General features: G+C 36.6%; 1 protein-coding gene across 20 annotated transcripts in view; it reads right to left on the reverse strand.

The window, feature by feature from the left end:
- SOX5 (SRY-box transcription factor 5) overlaps window positions 1-21205 on the reverse strand; it is a 1033147-nt gene that overhangs the window by 746851 nt on the left and 265091 nt on the right. For 14 of the 20 annotated variants that reach the window (XM_024449158.2, XM_017019891.2, XM_047429461.1 and 11 more), the window contains one exon: window positions 862-958. The exons of 4 other annotated variants lie outside the window; for them this stretch is intronic. The gene's annotated coding sequence lies outside the window, so the exon portion shown is untranslated. The remainder of the gene's footprint in view (window positions 1-861; window positions 959-21205) is intronic. 2 more of the 20 variants (XM_024449159.2, XM_047429456.1) reach the window with 1 other exon arrangement.

A 21205-nucleotide genomic window follows, 5' to 3' on the forward strand; every position in this document is an offset into this window, starting at 1 on the left:
TTGCATCTTGAAATGGTGGGAACATAAGTCATAACACTGTAAGAGCAGATTTCTGAATAAATGAGCTTTAAGTCATTATGCAAGATGAACAGTGTTTCATTATTCTTTTCAGGTATCAACGAAAGGAGATTTCCCTTTCAATCTTACTGGTGACAAACTTCTCCTGAACAACAGAATTCCTTCCTTTCATCCTTTTCTGCAGTTACCTGCATGATGACTAGTCAATCAATAAATTAGAAAAGGATTTTCAACTCTAGATCTGTGGTCAAACTTTCAGTGCCTGTTCCCAAGAGTATAACATTTTTGAAAAGACAAACAGGGATTTCATGCACACACAGATAGATGCCCATGGAATGTTTCTGTCAGTAAATTAGAAAATATTTGTCTGGCTTCAGCAATATTACATTTTCGTATGTATTAACAGAATCATACCCTGGAATACTTAATAGCCTATAGAAATTTTTCTAAAATATGTGACCTATCCATTGCAATCCCAAATATTTATTTTGAAGCAACAACAAAAAAGTAGCAACAAATGTTTCAAAAAACATTTTTCAGTGGAGAAAAAAGCTTTCACAACTTCAGAAAAAGTGTATCTCATTAAGAAAAAGAAAAGAAAAGAAATGTTGCTATCATCTGCCAGTTTAGAGACATTACCATCATAATGAGTCTCAAAATCATAATTAAAAAGCCAGTTGTCATCTGAATATAAAAGACTATGTACTATACTTTTATATGCATATGTTTTATATATTTTTACTTATAAATTAAAAATAAGAGAAAGCATATAAACTTCCATTTTTGTGAAATAGAATAGTTATCAATTTTTCAAAAGTGTTATTATGTGTTTTATGAATATACCTTTTTCCTACCCAGTGCAGTGCCAGAATTCTCTGTTCAGCTTTCAGAATCTTGTCAACAGATTCAAACAGGAATCATGTCATCAGCAAGAGGAAAGCTGGAAAAATAAAAGTAGACCATTAACAGTGCATTGTTTTATTTAGTAAATATGAACATATGACTCTTGAAAATAGAAAATGTGTAAGGTTTTCAAAAGAAATTTATATTTATATATGTAAATTGATAAACCATTATATATATGTAAATTTACATTTAAATATATAAATATATATGTAAATTTACATTTAAATATATAAATATATATTTATATGTATATAATTTATATGTATATAAATTTATATTTATATATTAAATATATAAATATATATTTAAATGTAAATTTACATATATAAATGTAATAAAATTATGGTTTGTGGAAGAAGGGGTATTATCTTGGCATTATAAAGCCACCACAATTAATCTAAAAACTCAGTAGTTGTTGTGGTCCAATTTTAATGTAAATATCCTGCAGATGCTTTAGGACAGGCTAAACTAAGGTAGATTCTTGCTGCTCGAAATGATTCATGAGACAGCTTCAGGTGTCCTCTTAGGTCTCTTCTTTGAGCCCATTTAAACATATAACAGCAATGGTCAACACAGTAATTGTTAAATGTTCAGCTATTTTTCATTTCATTCCATCACTGCTATGTATTTCTCTGAGTGCCGTGCTCAGCTCAACTTCAGAAAGTGCTCTTGCCACTATCATGAGTGAATAAAATTCTGGCTTTGTTACCAATTTTCCTAGGCTGAACAAAAATCGGCCCTGACAATCTGTTGAGATTCCCAAGAATCAGACTTATGAAAGCAAGGAACCTGTACACGGTAGGAGCCACAGCCTTGATTCTGGCTCAGTCGCTCCGCTATTAGTCCAATTCAAGGGAAATTGAGTAATCTCTTGGGTGTTTATTTTTATATCATCACTGATTATTCAGTTTTGATCACAAGGTTTACAGTATTTGAATAGTTTTATTACCATACTATATCTTCCTGGAGCATGCCTCGTATAGAAGCATTTTACTCCATTCCAAAATCAGAACTTTTGTTAGGAAGCACAGAAATTCAAGTGCCACAATGTTGACAAAGAGAAGAATCCACATTACTTTATTAGTTTACTCATTACTTCATTGAAGAATATTCCACAAAGAGAAAAATTATCATTAAAAACTTTGAACATCAGGCTGGGTATGATGACTCACGCCTGTAATCCCAGCACTCTGGGAGGCTGCAGCAAAAGTATTACTTGAACCCAGGAGTTCAAGACTAGCATGGGCAACACTGAGACTCCAGCTCTACAAAAAATTTAAAAATTAGCTAAGCATGGTGGCATGCATCTGTAGTCCCAGCTATTTGGGAGAATGAGGTGAGAGGACTGCTTGAGTCCAGGAGGTTGAGATTGCAGTAAGCTGTGGTTGCGTCACTGCACTTCAGCCTGGGCACCAAAATGAGACCCCATCTCAAAAAAGCAAACAAACAAAAGCCAACCAAAACAACAACAAAAAACTTTTAACATGGGAAAGTATGTTGCTGAAGTAGAATAAAGGCTGTCTATATATAGTCAGTGGATTTTTAAAAATGTATTTCCATAAAAAATTGTACTTAGAAAAAATACCACAAACTCCACTTTTTTTTTTTTTTTTTAGTTAAGTGAATTGTCTCATCTGCCCAACTGTAAAGAGACTACACTACTACCACAATTGTGTTTACTAAGTGGAACAGTGAAATTTTGTCATATCATATATTTGGGTGACACAGAAATTCACAGGTGGTAATTTTACCCACAAGAGGGAGCTTGTATTTTTATATTTTTATTATAGAACATGAAAAACTTGAATTAAAATATGAAGTTCTAAAAATGTCTGTTGATACCATCATCTTTATGTCAAGTCAAATTTTGAGGTAACCAGATTGTAGTTGGCATATTTTTCTTCAATGATAACATATCACTATGGCAAAAGATTGGAAATATAATTGGAATTTTAAAAACATTTCCTACCTATATTATAATTAGGTTTTTTTAGATACAAGAATGAAGATGTAGCTGGCAAAGCAGCCTGAGAGAAAATTCTTTTTAGGTGGTAGTAACATTAGGTGTGTGAAATTGACTAGAATTATTATAAGTACTCTGCACCCAAATTTAATTACAGAGCAGTGAAATGATAGTTCAGTCATTCTTTTATCAGAAAAGAGGTTGTAAAAACCAATAATTTTCTATGTATTTATAGAACAGGAAACAACCTACTTTAAAAATTACTAAGATCGCTGATATCGCTAATATCACTTAAAACTTGTGTAAGTAACGTTGTAACTGGCATGATACCACAATGAACTTTCCTTTCCTAGAGTTGAGAGAAAAAATTTTCTTAAAAAAAAACTCAGCTCAATTCCTTCATATCCTTTAAGGTCCCTAAACAATATCTTAGGTTGTTAAGACTCTCAAAATAAATAAATACACTCTGAACTTTGTAAAAATAAAACGAATTCATCAACTTAAAAACTCCCATCTAAAAAAATAATTTTGGCAACTCTTATTAACCCCTAGTGATCCGTTCTATCACATTCAGAGACACAGAAATAACTAGGCTGAAATTTGTTTTCTGACCCTCTGTAAACTGCAGGGGAGACAGATGATAAGAGTTCTGTCACTTTCTCCCAAGGTTCTTGTCTCAACTTCTAGAACATACTATATAACACAGGCAGGGAGTTGAGAAAGAAGGGGTTAATCATGCTGCTCTTCCTTCTGGAATTTCCAACCTACCCATTAAATCATTGTTTTTTTTTCTCCCACTAGGGACTGTGAATCTAATGGACCTAAAATCAATACCTTACAAATGACATAAAAAATATATTCATTTTATGGACTAATGTACCCTAGTGTCTGAATCCTATTTACACCCTCTACTTTAAAAAGGAAGGACAGACCCATTTCTGCCAGTAAAAGGTTACTCAGTCACTTTGGTGACATGCTGCAGAATGCACTGTCATACTAAAGTGCAGCACGAGGGAAAGATTGGTGGCTGCAAAACCACTATTGTGGAAACTTTCAACACTGTGCCGTGAAATTGCGTTAAGAAACACAGTCAGGGAGGAGCACGCAGGTAGCTTCAAAGATGTTAGCCATGTTCTGAGGTGCTTTGACGGGTCTCTGTTTCATCATCTTGTTTCATAACTTAAAGTATATTATATAAAATTTTAAGTGGATCAAATATTACATAATATCATTTTAAAAACAAACACAGCTTTCACTTAATAGTGAATTCTATCATGATTGAAAAAAACTGGATAAAAATTCCTAAGAGGCAGAAATGTTCACTAACATACCAAAGCACTACTAGCCAAATAGACATAGTGTGTGATCAAGCCACATTAAAGGGGACAGAGGCAAGCCCCGGGGAAACAAAGGGTATTTCATTTACCAGATACAGCAGGGACACAATCACAAAAGGTGACTACTGCTTGGTGTTTCACATATTGAGAAAGTATGCTTATGAGAGGGTTTTATGTTTACAGAACATTCTCCAAACCAAAGAACCCACATACTTCATCAAAAGCCATTCTTATCATTTACAAAGTATTAAGGTTTTTTTTTTTAGCATAATACATTGGTAACTTTTTTAAAATTTTGAGAATATCTTCTTCTACATTTAGTATTTTTATGATATCAAATATAGGGCAACCCAGTACAAATGCAAAGATACCTTCAGTTTCATTGCAAAGATTAAAGTGTCAGGGGAAGGGAGAGAGAGAGAGAGGAAAGAAAAAAAAAAAAACAAACCTAAAAATTAAGGAAAGAACTTTTCTCCTAGGAAAATATCACCTGACTTACTTTTTGTTTCCATGGGTACAAATAGAAAAGAGAATAATGAGTAAGAAAACAAACTTTAAAACAGATAGTTTTTGAGAGAATACTAGCAACAGGTCAGCATGAAATTTCCAGTTCAGTTTTACTGGCTTAAAATCTATACGGTTATAAAATTACCAAAAGGAAAAAAAAAAAAAAAAAAAACTGTTGTTCTTTATTCCATTTGCCAACCAGAGTCATTTATCCCCTATTAGATAAAGTATAATAGACTCTACGGAAAGGGTCATTGGCCTTCCATTTAATGATATTGCCAGCCCCAATCTGCATTTTCCCAGCAATGTCCCTCAACACAGAATAAATGGCTGATCTCTTCACAATAACAGCTGATTTCTATTTATTAAGCTAAAAAGGTCACCATTTTCTACGGCTGGGCCGCCCTGCACTATTGATAATTTTATGCATAAACAAATGGCAAATTTGTGCCACATAAATATGCATTAGCAATTACTTTTTCCTTGGGCAACGCTCACCGCATGCAAATGTGTACCTCGCAGGGCCTGGTAGCTTTTGTTTTAGCTCTTGAACAGTGAAACAAAAGAGCACAATAAACAATTTTAAAATTGCCAATCAATAAGCAATGCAAATGCAAAGGTAAATGGCAAGAAACTTGCTCAGAAACAGCAAAACAAAAGTGAAGCATGAGGGGGATGGGGAAGGATTTTCTTTTTTATATTATTTCATTTCTTTCTCTTTGATAATGAAAAGGCTAAAGTACTCTTGACACAGAACAGCTAGCTAGGCTGGTACTAAAGCAGATGCCAGATGGGGAAAGGAGAAAATATACACATGTTGAATAAACACACACATCCCAAAAAAGAGGGTAAGAGGAAAACTGTGTTCCTCGATGCGATTTCCGGGGCATCACCTACTCAAATTTCTGATGGTCAATTTCAGAGATTTGTAAGAATATTCAATTTCAGAGATTCAAAGAATTTTAAAACTAGGAGGAGCTACAGAGACTCAACCAAATCTCAATTCCGTAGTACTTTGCTATGCTGTTGTTTCCTAATGTCACCTCCCTCAGTAAAAAGGAATATACATGATCAATAAATGCGATATCTTTAGGAACACAAAGAAAAGGGATAAACGAGGAATATATAAGAAATAAAGGGAGGGATAGCATTAGGAGATATACCTAATGTTAAATGACGAGTTAATGGGTGCAGCACACCAACATGGAACATGTATACATATGTAACAAACCTGCACGTTGTGCACATGTACCCTAAAACTTAAAGTATAATAAAAATAAATCAATAAATAAAAATTAAAAAATAAATAAATAAAAATCAATATTCATCAGAAAAAAAGAAATAAAAAGCAATCTACAAAATGTTTAAAATAAAAACCCTAATCTCAAAACAATGCGAGAATAATGTCAGGCACAAGAAGCAAGAAGCATAAGAAAAACTAGAAACAAAAAAAAAAAAGGTGTTGCCCAATTTGAACAGGAAAACAATAGATAACTCAAAAAAGCTGATTCTTTTAAATCAAAAATTAGCCTTAAGAGATTTTTTAGTGTTATTTACCGAGCACTATTCTAAGTGCTTTACACTTAGATCCATTACACTTCATCTTCACAAAACCCTCGAAGGATGGTACTATTAGCGCCGCTCCCATTTCCTAGTGCTGAGGCGCAGGGAGGTTAAGTTAATTAGGGCAGTGCTAGATCTGGGTCTTGACCCCATCTGAAGCCAGCACCTGCAAGCATCACTACTGCTAATACTTGCCATCCATTCTTTAAAAGCCATCCATGTTGACCCGGTTGAAAAATTTCTTCTGACCTGTGTAGACAGCTTTACCTTTGCATAAATAAATCACACTGTGTTTTAAACATCTATATTCAGGCCTTATGTGAGTTTCTTTGGCCAAGTGATTAAAATACTTTAGCTTCTGTAAAATATATAAATATTAACTTGTATGTTAGTACAGATGTACCTTAGTATATTAGTGCATGTGCACTGAGAACGTGCCGTAGTCTTAACCACTGGAGAACAGAAAAACACTTTGTGATCCCATCTTGATCTTAATGTAATTAAAGGTTTTACTATTCCTCAAAGGATTAACAAGATTTACCCACAATGTTGTAAAAATAAATATATAAAGTATTCTTGGCTAAATGAAAATAGGCAAACCTGGAAATCTAAAACCAGCAAGTGGTTCTGTCTTGCTCAGAGCCAAGAGAAGTCTTCACAGGTATCTCTTAGAATCCTGATATTGATCCTAAAAGTCAAACTTCTTTACAGAAGGTCACAAAACTTCTCCCAGCAATATTTTCCTCCTGGTAATATCAGTGTTGGAAGGCCAGGACTGTTGCTTGCATATACGGTGCCTTTGTCTGAGTAACAAAAAGATGACCCCTTGGGGGAGGCCATTCAGAAAATATGCCACCTGCACAACCATACCTGGTAGTCCTTGAAAAGACTTTAGAGTTTCCTTACTTGGAAAAGTGTTATTGTTAATATTAAACTCCGTCTTTTTAAGAACCAAGAACCTACTCTTTAATACAAAATCAGTATAAAGATGCATTCCAACACGATAGCGATATCTTACATGTTAATTCAAATAACTACGTAGCTAGGGTACTCCTATTTCCTTCTGTTTTGTTTCAGTTTTCAATCTTTGTGGCTGTGTATATAAAAGCTTGGGTATGTTTTTTCTTATTATTAACTAAATGCAACCAATATGTGCCGAAAGCCATTAATTTATAACAGGCAAAGTTTTAGTTATAATCATTCCTTACCCAAATGCTCACTCTCTATGCAAGGTAAGTAATTTAAACTAAAACCATGAATATTCCAGCTAAAGTAGAGTTTGTCTGAAATTTCTAAGTACTCATAGACTCTACTATGTAGAAGTCATGTAAATGGAAGTGAACAGGAAGTATGTAAAAAGTGTGGTTGGGTTAAATGGACGTTGCAATGTCCAAAGGCTCACCATGGGTTTCACAGCCAGAGGCTATGTCAGATAGTCGCATTGTCTGTCCCCAATCCCACAAAATTAGATTTAAGTAGCGGTTATCTTTGGGGGATTCAGAAAGTCTTAGAGAACAACAGGAAATTCTAGTGAAGATTTTGTGTGAACAGCAGGAGGGGAGCCACTGCCTCATTTGCCCTGGGTGAGGGTCTTGCCAGCCACTCTGCTTTAGACACATCTTTCTTTGCCCATACCCTGCTCTGCTAATCCCTGGTGTAGGCTGATCCCTGGAGGTCAAGTTTCTCAGGCTTCTCTAGGAGTCACCTTCCAGGTGAGTTTCACTACTGGGAGGAGAGCTGATGGAGGTGTAAGGAGAATGTGGGAGGCACACGTTTTTTTTCTTTGTGTGTGTGTGTGTGTGTGTGCGTGTCTTTCATTTAACTTTTTAAACATTTATTATAGACAATTACAAACATATTTAAAAAATAGAGATACTAGTAAAACAAACCCTCATCAACCACATCCAAATTTCAGCATCTATGAACCTTCTGCTATTTGAGTTTCTCCCTCGTCTTTCCTGGCTTCCTGCCTCAGGCAGCAGACTCTTCTTGGTCTACCTCCTGCCAGGCAGGCTCACATGGTTCCAGCTGCAGTCCAGTGACCCTGGTAACCCCATCTATTCCCTTTGTCTCTCCAGTATAAAGGTGGTAGCAATTTTTTGCTGTTCCTGAAGCCTAGGTTGCTCTTTTACAATTTTTACTGTCAATGTGTAACAATTTTCCAACATTATATACCACCTTTTGAAAATAATCAGGCTGAGCGTGGTGGCTTACACCTGTAATCCCAGCACTTCGGGACGCTCAGTCGGGTGGATCACCTGAGGTCAGGAGTTCGAGACCAGCCTGACCAACATGGTGAAACCCCATCTCTTCTAAAAATACAAAAATTAGCTGGGCGTGGTGGCGGGCACCTATAATCCCAGCTACTTGGGATGCTGAGGCAGGAGAATCGCTTGAACCCTTGAACCCGGGAGGTGGAGGTGGCAGTGAATGGAGATCAAGCCTTTGGACTACAGCCTGGGCAACAGGGTGAGTGAGATTCCATCTCAAAAAGAAAGAAAAAAAAATAATCAGAGTGGCTTCTGACTTCCTGCTTGGACCCTGAGCATACAGATTGCTAATTTTATTTTATTTTTTATTATCTGTTGGTAGAACTACCATTTATCCCCCTTATTCTGAGCTCCTTTGAAGTATTAACAGGTCAAGACTTTGTAAAGCATGGTACCCTTTCAACAGCATGAGGCCCAGTATGCTGGTCCAATATTTGCAATGCCTTAAGTATGATTCCCCACATATAATATTCATGTTTTCATGTACAATCTATTTTACATGACAATAAACAATCTATTCTTATTCTATACCTTTTGTTGATTGCTTATCGATATTCTTTACAAACTTGCTTTGTCTTAATCTATGGGCCAGTGAAAGAAGAGCAGCGCTATACTGGTTCTGGAAATTCTACATCAGTGCCTAACATCATGGAAATCTGCCTAGTCTATTTTAAGGAGGTAGCTCAGTCTGGCATGAAAATACATTTTTCCAGTGGTAGGTGGCAGCGACTAGTTAACCAAGTTTATGTCTTAGACAAGACATGTTTAACATGTAGTCATTTGTTTATTTATAACAAAACATGACCTTCCAGTGTTAGGAATAAACACACACACATCATAAAAATGACTGATGTTCAATGGCTCTTACAAAATTACATTTTGAAAAATTATGGGATGATGAATCAAACATATAGATTACATTTCTGTGAAACAGACATGTGCTTAATAATTAACGGAAAAAGATAAAAATAATATTTATAATTTTGTCTTACCCAAAACACTTGAATAATTATGTAATCATATAGCTACATGAAGACATCCTCATCAAATTTGAACTAGAATCTGTGAGGAAATTTTAAAATATGAAAACATCTAAAACAGAAATGATGGACTTAATCCACAAGCTGAAACTTTAACCTGCTTTAATATAAAGTTTTACTATATAAATAAAAAATACAGAAGAAAACATTTGCTTTAAGGATAATTCACAAGACCTTGCAATGTTTGACAATCACAATGCAAGCAAAAAATGAGACGTGACAGTAAAAAAAGAGAAAAAAGGGAATACAGTTAATAATTGTAGTGTCCAATCAAATGTAGGTAAAACTAACACCAATGGTAAGACAATATTTCAAACACGAGTTCCAGACTAGTTTCAATCCTGTATATATGGAACTCGACAGTCAGAAAAGATCAACCCAGAGCATAGTGTGCATGACAATTGTGCTAAATCGGGTACTATTAGGAGGAGAAGATACATTCAGTTTGAAAAAGATCAAATTCAAGAGCTTGGGAGGGCCAGTCATAAAGTACAATCAGATATTTGAAGGGTTGTCATTTGGAAGAGTAAGACTAGATATATTGTCTCATGCTCCAGATGAAAGAACAAGAGTTTTTTAAATATATAAATTTTTTTAGAGACAAGGTCTCACTCTGTCATCCAGGCTGGAGTGCAATGATACCATCATAGCTCATTGCAACCTCAAACTCCTGGGCTCAGGTGATCTTCCTGCCTCAGCCTCCCAAAGTGCCGGGATTACAGGTGAGAGCCACTGCATCTGGCAGGATTATGGGGACACAGATCTCAGTACATTATGAAAAATAACTTTTTAAAATAAGCTATCCAGCAATGGCATAAACTAAAGGAAGCCAAATGACTTAGGGTGTATGAAGGGCTGTGGATACAGAAAGAACGGGTCACTCTGGCTTTGTTACTTATCCAAGTGATCTTGGACACAATTAACCCATTTATGCCTCATGTTTTCTCATTGGTAAATTTATTCCAGCATACACCATACCAAGGAAAGGTAAAAGATCAAACAGAGACTGACTACAGAACCATCTGTCAGAGGTCTGGGAATAGAATTTTTGAACTAAACTAGATATTGGGTCATGTAGCTTTAAGACCCATCCTAAACTGAGACTAAATTATTCTAGTCCCCGAAGTTCAGGTGGATATGTTCACTTCAGGCAGGAATGGTTGGTTCTAAATATTTAAAAGCGGGAAAAGACTGTTGCAATTCTGCAGTTTTAAAAAAGTCATAGCATCAGATAGAGAAAAGATATTCATATTTGACCCAAAAGAAAGCTAAATAAAACTTACAAGGTATTTTTAGTTAATAAAACACATGTAACATCAGAAAATAAGTCAGATATGATTATTTAAAGCAGCAATATTCATTTTTGAAAAATTTACAGTATTAACTTTTTCTCGTCTTTAAAATCTCTACTCAATTTACAGATAACTTCTTGGATACAGAGGAAACATGAACAAAGTACTTGTGCTTTTTGAACACTAAGTGCTGCTTCCTTGCCGCTGTCAGCCAAGCCCTTCCACCACTCCTTCAACCGTGCCTTCTGTCATGGCTACTCAGCCCATGGCAACCCAGAAGAACACAGAAGCGCGAGCTCAGCAGGGCTAAAGGGCATCTTAAAAACAGTGATTCTCAAATCCTTTTTTTTTTTTTTTTTTTTTTTTTGCAGTGCCCCAGGGTTCTTCTAGTTATTTTCAAGGAATGCTCTAAAATTTTCAAAAAAATTCTTAAAATCATTTTTTCTTGTCCTAAAAATTATAGATCTCTTTGGGCTTTTCAAGTCATTTTTACTTAAGCGATCTGATTTGAGCTTCAGCAATTCTTTATGGTAGGTATGACAGGGCTGATCCCTCTCTTACAAAGAAAAAACTCAGAAAAATTCTTACGAGACCCCAAATCACAGAACAACAATGCAGCAGGAAACAGGCAAGAACCCAAGTCCAGTCCTCTGTACTGCCCTCCGTACTCTATAACAGATCACACCCAGGAGTAAGAACTGGCAAAAAGGAAATTTTGGAATCCCTCAAACTATGGAAGCGTTAATTTCTTTCCAGGGCCATGAATGTTTATCAGGATTATGCAACACTCTCTATGTGCCTTCTTATTCATTGACAGAATATTGTTTTTACTTTTAAAGTGGGATTAGCACAGTGCTTCACAACTGAGGGTGATTATGTCCCTGGGGGACATTTGGGAGTGTCTGGAAATATTTTTATTGTGATGACTTGGAGGATGCTACTGGCATCTAGTGGGTAGGGGCCAGGGATGCTTCTAAACATCCTACAGTGCCCAGGACAGCTCCCACAACAAAGAATTATCTGATCCAGAATGGAAGTGGTGCTAAGGTTGAGAAACCCTGGATTAGCAGTATTTTCATTTAAGCCATCTGTTTTTGTCTCTTACTTTTGTTACATAAACATAATAATGCTTTCAGAGTATAACATTTTCTGGGTGCTAATGACTGGTTTGGCCTAAGACTATCAGCTCTTAGACAGTCACTAATTCCACAAAATGCCCTATGCCTTAATCTTTGCTGTTTGACAATGCATTGAACAGTGGTTCAAGTGACAGAGGTCACCGTTACTGAGATAAATTGTTCATAAAATAATTTGTCATGGTATTTATAACAGTTTGCTTATAAGAGTGTTAAAAATAAAGCGATGCAAATGGAGAAAGTCAGAATTACACATTTCAATAATATGAATTGGGAATGGAAATTCAGTTGTGAATAAAGGAGTAACCTTTGACTTTTCTGTGTATAGCACACATTGAAAACCTTGCAACAATGCATGTCCAACCTTTAAAAAAAAAAACGTGGTGAGGAAGGAGTGTGCGGCCCCTCCCCACCACCTGCACACCAATCTTTAAAAGTGAATTTGGTTCTCTTTTTACTTGCGAAGTTTTTCAATAGACATTATAATAATTAATAATCTATTCTCAGAGAACCTTTTATTCTTTGCCACAGTTCATTCTCTGTCTCATGATGGGAGGTATCTTTCTTGCTTAGTCCTTAGATACGTAACCACCTAAATAATGACTTTGAACTTAGAAACTTAAACTTTTTCTTTCACATGTCCCTTTAAGAATCTGAAGAGGGAGGCCAAGGTTGCTTGAGCTCAAGAATTAGAGACTAGCCTGGGCAACATGGTGAAACCTCCTCTCTACCAAAAATACAAAAAGTAGCCAGTCATGGCGGCTTGCATCTGTGGTCCCAGGTATTGGAGACTCTGAGGCAGGAGGATCACTTGAGCCCAGGAGGAGGAGGCTGCAGTGAGCCGTGATCGCATCACTGTACTCCAGCCTGGGTGACACGGTGAGAACCTGTCTCAAAAAAAAAACAAAAACAAAAAAGAATCTGATGAAAGTTACAAACCTAATCCATAAAAATACAAATTTCCATATTGACAGACCATTCTTTCTGAATCTCTTGCGTTTCTGTACTTGTTATGAGTAAAGGCACTGAAGGCCTTTCTTCAGGACGGTCTTAAGGACATTTGTATCTTTTTTTTTTTTTTTTTTGAGACGGAGTCTCGCTCTGTCGCCCAGGCTGGAGTGCAGTGGCGGGATCTCGGCTCACTGCAAGCTCCGCCTCCCGGGTTCACGCCATTCTCCTGCCTCAGCCTCCCAAGTAGCTGGGACTACAGGCGCCCGCCACTACGCCCGGCTAATTTTTTTGTATTTTTTAGTAGAGACGGGGTTTCACCGTTTTAGCCGGGATGGTCTCGATCTCCTGACCTCGTGATCCGCCCGCCTCGGCCTCCCAAAGTGCTGGGATTACAGGCGTGAGCCACCGCGCCCGGCCGGACATTTGTATCTTGAAAGCCTTAGAAGATAGAGCTATTATCTTCCTGTAGAGCAAAAGGCAGGTTTGTTTACCATCCAGTATCACAAGGATAATGTCTCACTTAGGGCCAAAGGTCAGACATGCTTACTGTGCATTATAAAAGCCTGGGGTTCCCTAAGCTCAAGTTTTCTGCACCTGAAGTGTAAACATCACCAGACTCTCTTTCAATCACCATGTGGGAATCAGGGCTCAGAAAACCGGTACAAACGCTAATACCTTGTCTACTACTCTCCTTGTGAGTACTAAACTTTCCTTTGTCTGCGATCCAAAAGTCTAGTGTCTTCTGCCAGCATTCATAGAACTATGCAGGCTGCTGTATTAGCTTAAAAATAGGGTAAAAATCTCAGACCCTTCACAGTTCTTAACAATGCACCCAGAAAACATAAGCATACTGTTTTTAACAGATGGCCATTTTATCCTCATATCCAAATCCAGAAGGCTAAAAGTATTTATTTTGATATCTTAGTCAGTAAACAGAGGGGAATGACCATAGACTCTAATATCTGAAAAGTACCTTAAAAATCATACAATGTTAGGTTGATTCCACAAAAATATATTTGGCTAATGATAGTAATAATAGTCAGCATTAATTGAGTGGTTTCTACATGCCAGGCACTTTGTCAGGAGCCTAGCAAATATTATTGAAATTTATTCTGACAATAGCACTGATGAGGCGGCCATTATTATCCTCATTCCACTAGGGGAAGATAAGACCTAGGTAAATTAAGTAACTTGGCAAAGGCTACACAACTGGTCAGTGTTGGAGCCAGAATTTAGGTTCAGAGGTGAAATGTGAGCCCATCTTGTGTCCTCCTAAACTTTCCTTTTCTGCCTCCCCACCACCCCCCTCTCCCAGCCACACTGGTGGTATAAAGGCATGGTCCCTGCTCCTGACGGACTCACGCTATAAAGAGGGAGAGATATAAAAATAGATAGTTTCAAAAGAATGTCCTAAGGGCTTTGTTGGAGTATGCACAGGAAGTTCCTAGAGCAAGGGAAGGGCCCAGCCTTCTCCAGGAGCCACCAATAGCTTCCCAGACAAAAGGATAATGAAGGCGAGTCTTAAAGGATGATTAGAAGTAGGTCAGGTAAAGAAGCAGGGGTCTTGATTTTACACATGAGGAAACAGAAGCCCAGACACAGGGCTAAGTTCACATAGCTACTTGTAAAAACAGGGTTGCAGTTTGATGGCTGATAAATTTTTACTATTTCTTGCTGCTTACAAAGATTATTCCTCCCTTCGTATTAGGCAATAGGCAGTACTCAGTATTATCTACTGTTTATACTGTCATTATTCTCCTTTTATTATTATTTTTAAAATATGACATGATTAGGCACTGGGCAGTCAATAAAATAATATGTGAATATAGTGTCATAAGAGAGTCTCTTTGCTAAGAAGGGCACACAGCACGTCACAAAGTATCCAAAGTGTTAATAAATCACTCGGAAATTTAAATGTTATTTTCTGTTAGATTTTATTGAGGGATTTATCATGATTATAGACAAAGTTCCAACAAGGTCAACATCAACGTTCCAAAGGCATGAGCAGGTAAGCTAAAGAGAGATCAAATAAATTGTTTAAATGGTACAGCACAGGTAGTTCTCACGAATGTCTCTGCAACCAGCCTAACTTCCATTAACATAGTTAGAAACTCTCTGATATGAAGAAAATTATTATAACTTCAGATATTACTCTAAGGAGCTATTGCTGTAGAATAGAAATGAAGAGATGTAGATAAATCTGCTAATGTTCATCTTATTCACATAAAATGTGCATATAGAAACAGAAAACAGAAGCAAGAAATTCAAGGAAATCATGCTCAATAAAGATTTGAGTACAGTTGTAACACTTTCTAAGTTACTAATATAGTATGTTCATATAGGTTCTAATACAGTATGGCTCAGTATGGTTTGATAGTTAATACTTGGAATTAGAAAGTGAGGTGACAAGTATACTGACTAAATGAGCAAAAAATTACCACAATATTCCTGATTGACCAGACTGTTTTTATAGGACAGTATCACCACCACCACCATCACTATGTAGCATCACGACATGTATTGAGTGTTGCCTATATAAAAGGAAGCACTGTGGTTGCCAGAGATGAAAGTGCCGTGGTCTCTGCTCTGTAGCTGCATTTATGGATGGGTGGAGGTGGAAGTAACAATAACATACAGTTACATAAAATAACTACTGTAATTCACCCAACAAACTCTTACAGAGCACTTGCTCTGAGCAAGGCACTATGACAGGCTTGACAAAGGAATCCAAGAAAGAAAGGGAAGTAAGGACTGGAACTAAGGAGAAGAAAACATGCTAACAGTGACTTGCACTTCAAACACAGTTGTTTCTAGTTCTTACCTGAACCAGAAATGATCAATAGTGGCAGGGTGCCAAGATCAATGGCAGCCCAGGGTCAGAATCACTGACATCAATATGATCAGTATTACTCAGTCTCATCAAATTGAGGGATTCTTTTGCAGTGAAGAAAACTGGATAGTGTTGAATAGAATTTCACTAAAAAGGAGACTAATGCTTCAGGATTATTTATTTGAAAATCTATTTAAAAGTTGCATAAATAAAATTTTTGAAATGCTTTTCAATATTTAAAAAATATCTAAAATGTGATTTATTCATCATAGTTATAAGCCAATGGAAGGATCATAGATACATTACACTTATGTACCTGCTACAAAATGAGAACTCATTAGGGGAAGACAGAAATTTTGTGAGACTTGAAACTTACATGATTTGGGATACCCTATTTAAAGAAAGACAAAATTTTGACCTTTTCACATAGACCACAATTTCACAAAGAGAATTTTGTAGAGATAAAGAAGATAATCTACAGTCTGACACAGTTGATAGAATTTTGTTCTTCTTAGTTAAGAAAAGTTTCTTCCATCTTTACAACTGGATTTTGGCAAGGCCATGTAATATTCTCAGACTGTATCAAGTTTGAGAAAACTTGTAATCAAGTTTCTTATGAGCTGTAACATTTCGAAGAAATTTCCACAGACTAGCTTCTGGCTTCATATATTTAAAACGCAGTCGCTCTTCCACTACCCGCGTACTTCAAGTTTCTCATGACATGAGAGATGACCTCTGGCCCTAAAACCTGGTGTTATACTCTCAAGTGAGTCGGCTGTAGGATTATTCCTGGGAGACATTTCCATGATGGAATGGCTACTAATAACATATCCATAGTGACTATAATGTAGACCCAATAGATCTAGTTGGGTTGAGTGAGATATACTGACATCACATGTAGTCACTATACTATAATAACAAGAGACTGCAGATGATATCAATATATCCCACTCAGTCCAACAAGATCTATTTTCCTTTACCTGATTCCTCCAATGGCCACATCACCTCAACACTATAGCTATAAGGTGATATGTGATGGAAGGAGAGTTGGAATACAAATAGTGATAATAACCAATTTGCAATTCTAACAAAAACATATGCCCACATGATCACATTGCTAGTTCTCAACAGTGACCAGAGAATGGGCTTAAGCTTCACTCACTTTAAGACAAACCTGCCTGTGGTTTTCACCAAGGCTTTTTAATTTTTATCATCTTTAATGTGAGGTAGTTATACAGTCACCAGTTAAGTCAGTTAAATAAACTATTACATTCTGTCCCCCTATTACAACAATTCTTTTAAAATTTACATGGGTATGGCTGTATCTATAAAAAGAATCTTCAACATAACATACAAATACTTCTGAAAACACTGTGAGAGCAGAATATCAACATATTAAGGACTGGTTATGCAGTTTATAAAAAAAAAGGTGGGGAAGAATCTTCACAGATTATATAATTTAGAGACAGACATTAATATTCCAGAAGGTGGGCATTTATATATCAATATCAATATTGACAGGATTGTAAAGATTTGCTGATTTTCCATTTTTGTTATCACTTTTTTAAGTCAATGGGACCGATCTCACCATCTTGCTGACATGGCATACTGATACCAGTTTCTGAAAATTCTACTTTTCTAAACTATCAGAAAAGGGCTGTTTATGTTAAGTTCTTTAGCCTTTCTCCTCCTCAAATGGCATAAAGTATCAAACCTAGTTTATATCTTTTGATTGTTCTATGGTGTATCTAGTGAAATAAATCAACTTGTCACAAAAGTAAATAGCAACAGAACGGAAACAGCTCCATTAAATAGTAAAGCACCATTTATAACATTATTCTGACAGCCTTAAGTCCTGGAAAAAAATAAGATCTGGAAGTCGCTGCTGCAAAAGCATCAGAAATACATGTGTTCGTAAGTGCAGATTCAAAATGCTAAACAGAATTCTGATGTAGGGACCCCACAGAATTAGATCAAATGTATCCATCTGTTCGCCTTCATGTAAATAATGCTTAAATGACCAGTGCTGGGACCTCTTGTAGGACAGGCCTTGAGACTTTCATTACATCTGTCACTTCCCCTGTTTACAGCTGCCTCATCAGTAACTCATGGGTTTTTTTTTTTTCCTCAACACTCAGAACAGCATCCCAAGGAAATGGCACCAGGAAAAGAGCTATTCCTTTATTTCTCTTCTCTCTACCAGATTTCGGTCTCAGTAACTAATATTAATCTCAAATATAATACACTCTTCATGGATGCATGGAAACACTTCAATAAAGCACTTTAGTTTCTTGTTTCCACTTCTGGAACTCAGAGGGGGCTATTTCATAAGCAAATGTGAATACCTCCATGCAAATGCCCACACTCTGAGAAGCACCGCCCCTTCCACACTTTCTACCTCTCACATGTGGTACATGGAATGGAGTCACCAAAATGCACAGCGTCCAGCAGGTTTAAACAGTTCTACACTGTTGACACTGCTAACAATATATCTAAGAGGGAAGCAATGCTACAACCTTCATCTCTGGATGGACTAGATTGTTACGGTGGCTGCATTTTACTGAAGGCAAACATGTTTCCCTGAAAATCAAGTTTCATTTGCTGCGCACAAAGTAGCTTTGACCCCACAGGGATGAAGCCGACAGTGGCCAAGTTAGGAAAATCTAATCTACAAAAAATTGCACAATTCATCTCTCTTGGTTCTGCAATTGGCCTAATGCTGCATTTTCTGAAACCTTTCCTGTTTGAGAAAACACACCAGGTCTTAACATCCACAAAAGGTAAAATATGGAATTCCATTGACACAATGAAGTATAGGAAACAGCCAAGCTTTCCCAAGTTTGTGGTTTTTATATTCGCGATAAGAAATATTCACCAAAAGTTTAGCACAGACATATATAGAACGTATTTATCATGTATAAGGTATATATATGAACTTACAAATAAATTTTTATAAGTATATATGAGTAAATATAAGTATATATGAGTAAATATAAGTATATATGAGTAAACATAAGTATATATGAGAAAGAGCAACATACCAATGGTTTCTTTTATTGACAGCACATTTTTTCCTTACTAATACTTTCTAGTGCTAGAGGATCTTCATACTCTCGTGTACAACAAACTCACACTTCTCCTTCAATACCCTCTTGTTTAAGTACATGTATCTATTCAAAGTCTTTGTTGCAACATAGAAAATTAAGTTAAGAAACAATGCATGTACTGGCTATTTAAGACACCCCCAAACACTTTAATCCTGACATTTAAAACTGCATGCACTGTGGACGGAAGTGCAAATATATAAAGACTAATAAACTTCTTGCTCTGAATTATTTGTGCTCACTAAAGGATATTTTGTTCAGTGAAACTAAAACTGTTTTTTTGAAGTTCTTGGTTTTTGTTTGTTTGTTTGGAATGGAGTCTTGCTCTCTCAGCCACGCTAGAGTTCAGTGGTACAATCTTGGCTCACTGCAACTTCTGCCTCCCAGGTTCAAGTGATTCTCCTGCCTCAGCCCCTCCTGATCAGCTGGGATTACAGGCGCACACCAGCACATCTGGCTAATTTTTGTAGTTTTTTTGTAGAGATGAGATTTTACCATGTTGGCCAGGCCGGTTTTGAACTCCTGACCTCAAGTGATCTGCCCACCTTGGCCTCCCAAAATGCTGGGTGGCATGAGCCACCGCACCTGGCCTTGAATACTGTTTTTCACAGGGTACCTCTTATTTGGTGTATCTAATATGCTGCCTATAGACTATATGAATCAGGACCTGTGTGCGGTATAAAGCCAATGGTCTTTGCTAAAGAACATTAAGTAAAAATCTCATTTTACCCAGTGCATTATTTTAGAATATGTCTCATCCTTAAAATCTGAAGCACTCACAGAACAAAAAATTAAATCTGAGAAATAAAATATCCTAACACAGTGCTGAAAAACTTCATAATCTTTCACTTGAACACCAAGCCAAGGTTTATGTGAGACTCCATCCTAGGGCACTTAGTTTCTGCATTAGCAGAAGTATCTCTTTATACGCTGGTTTTATTTCATTAAGATATCATCATCAAAATTCATCTGCCTCATCATTTCTCATGAATGTTTCAGTAGGAACACTGCAAAATAACACAATAGAAAAAGGTAACTGTTTCCACATTATTGTGAGATTTCCTCGCTGATAAATGAGAGAAGTCACAGACATTTAAGACTATTTGACGGTGAAGCCACAGCGCTCCTTCTGCAGTGTTTCTCTAAAACTCTGTCCTTGGTGAAGAAGTGAGAACTCCGAATAGATCTAGCCATGGTTCACAAAAATCAGGTCCTAAGACCAGTGCCTCTTGAGCTTGTTTCTCCCTTCTTGACACAGTTGTCACTTATAAGCATATGTGGATATTTATACTGTAAAACTCATAAATAAGTGAGGAAAATACCTTTTGAAGAAGTGAAAAGCAATGGTTGTGTCTTTCTCGCTGAGAATTCTGATAATTCAACTTTCTGACAGTAGCAATCATGTCAAATGTCAGGGCAGTGAAAGTAATATGGAATCACTCTCCTACGCAGCCAATATGTTCTGTAGATTTCTTGTCCTAACTAAGGCATTATCACTTCACAGTTATCTAGAAAGCAAATCTGTAATCGGCAGATACATTGTTCTTAAAAAAAAAAAAAAAAAGTAGTTTGAAAAAATGCTGCTCTCTTTTATTTCTTAGTATAGTTTCTGCCACCTGGATACTTGCAGACCCCACATGGCCCTACATAGACAGACAGACACACACACACACACACACACACACACACAAACACAGAGGGTCCTGTAGCTAATCCCTAATCTACTCATTACCCTAAACTGCCAGACAGTTAATTGAATTAATAATTTTTTGTATTTGACAGTCAGAGACATGACGGTAGTTATGCTAAGTCGTTTACAGTTTTAACTTAGAGGAAACTAAAATAGAGTTTAGGTTCTTTCTTAATCATCTGCTTAAATTTCCTCCTTGTAATTAAAACTGTAGATCCAACCTGTAATTCGGTGAAAATTTTGAAAGTGACTAATACTCATTACCCAGGAGGCTTATCTAATGTAATGTACATTACAGAGCACAGCACTTATGGGTTTAAAATCACTGGTTCTTTCTGTTCAAAACAACCAGCGCTGAGCTTCATCTTCGACAGTCTTCCCATTCTCAGATTTTTTTCTTTCTTTCCAATAAAACAAACTGTTCTCTTCTTTCTCCACACAGCATGGGCTGAAAAGCAGCCCAATACCGCAGCGTGGGTATACGGAAATGGAATTTCATTAACTACTACAAGTGGTCCACGAGCTAAATTAATTAACCAAAACAGGTAAAATTCCCACTCTCTTCCTTAAATATTGCTAAAGCAGTATTGCTTCAAAT

Source organism: Homo sapiens, chromosome 12 (genome assembly GCF_000001405.40).
Source record: "Homo sapiens chromosome 12, GRCh38.p14 Primary Assembly".
Lineage (NCBI taxonomy): Eukaryota > Metazoa > Chordata > Mammalia > Primates > Hominidae > Homo > Homo sapiens.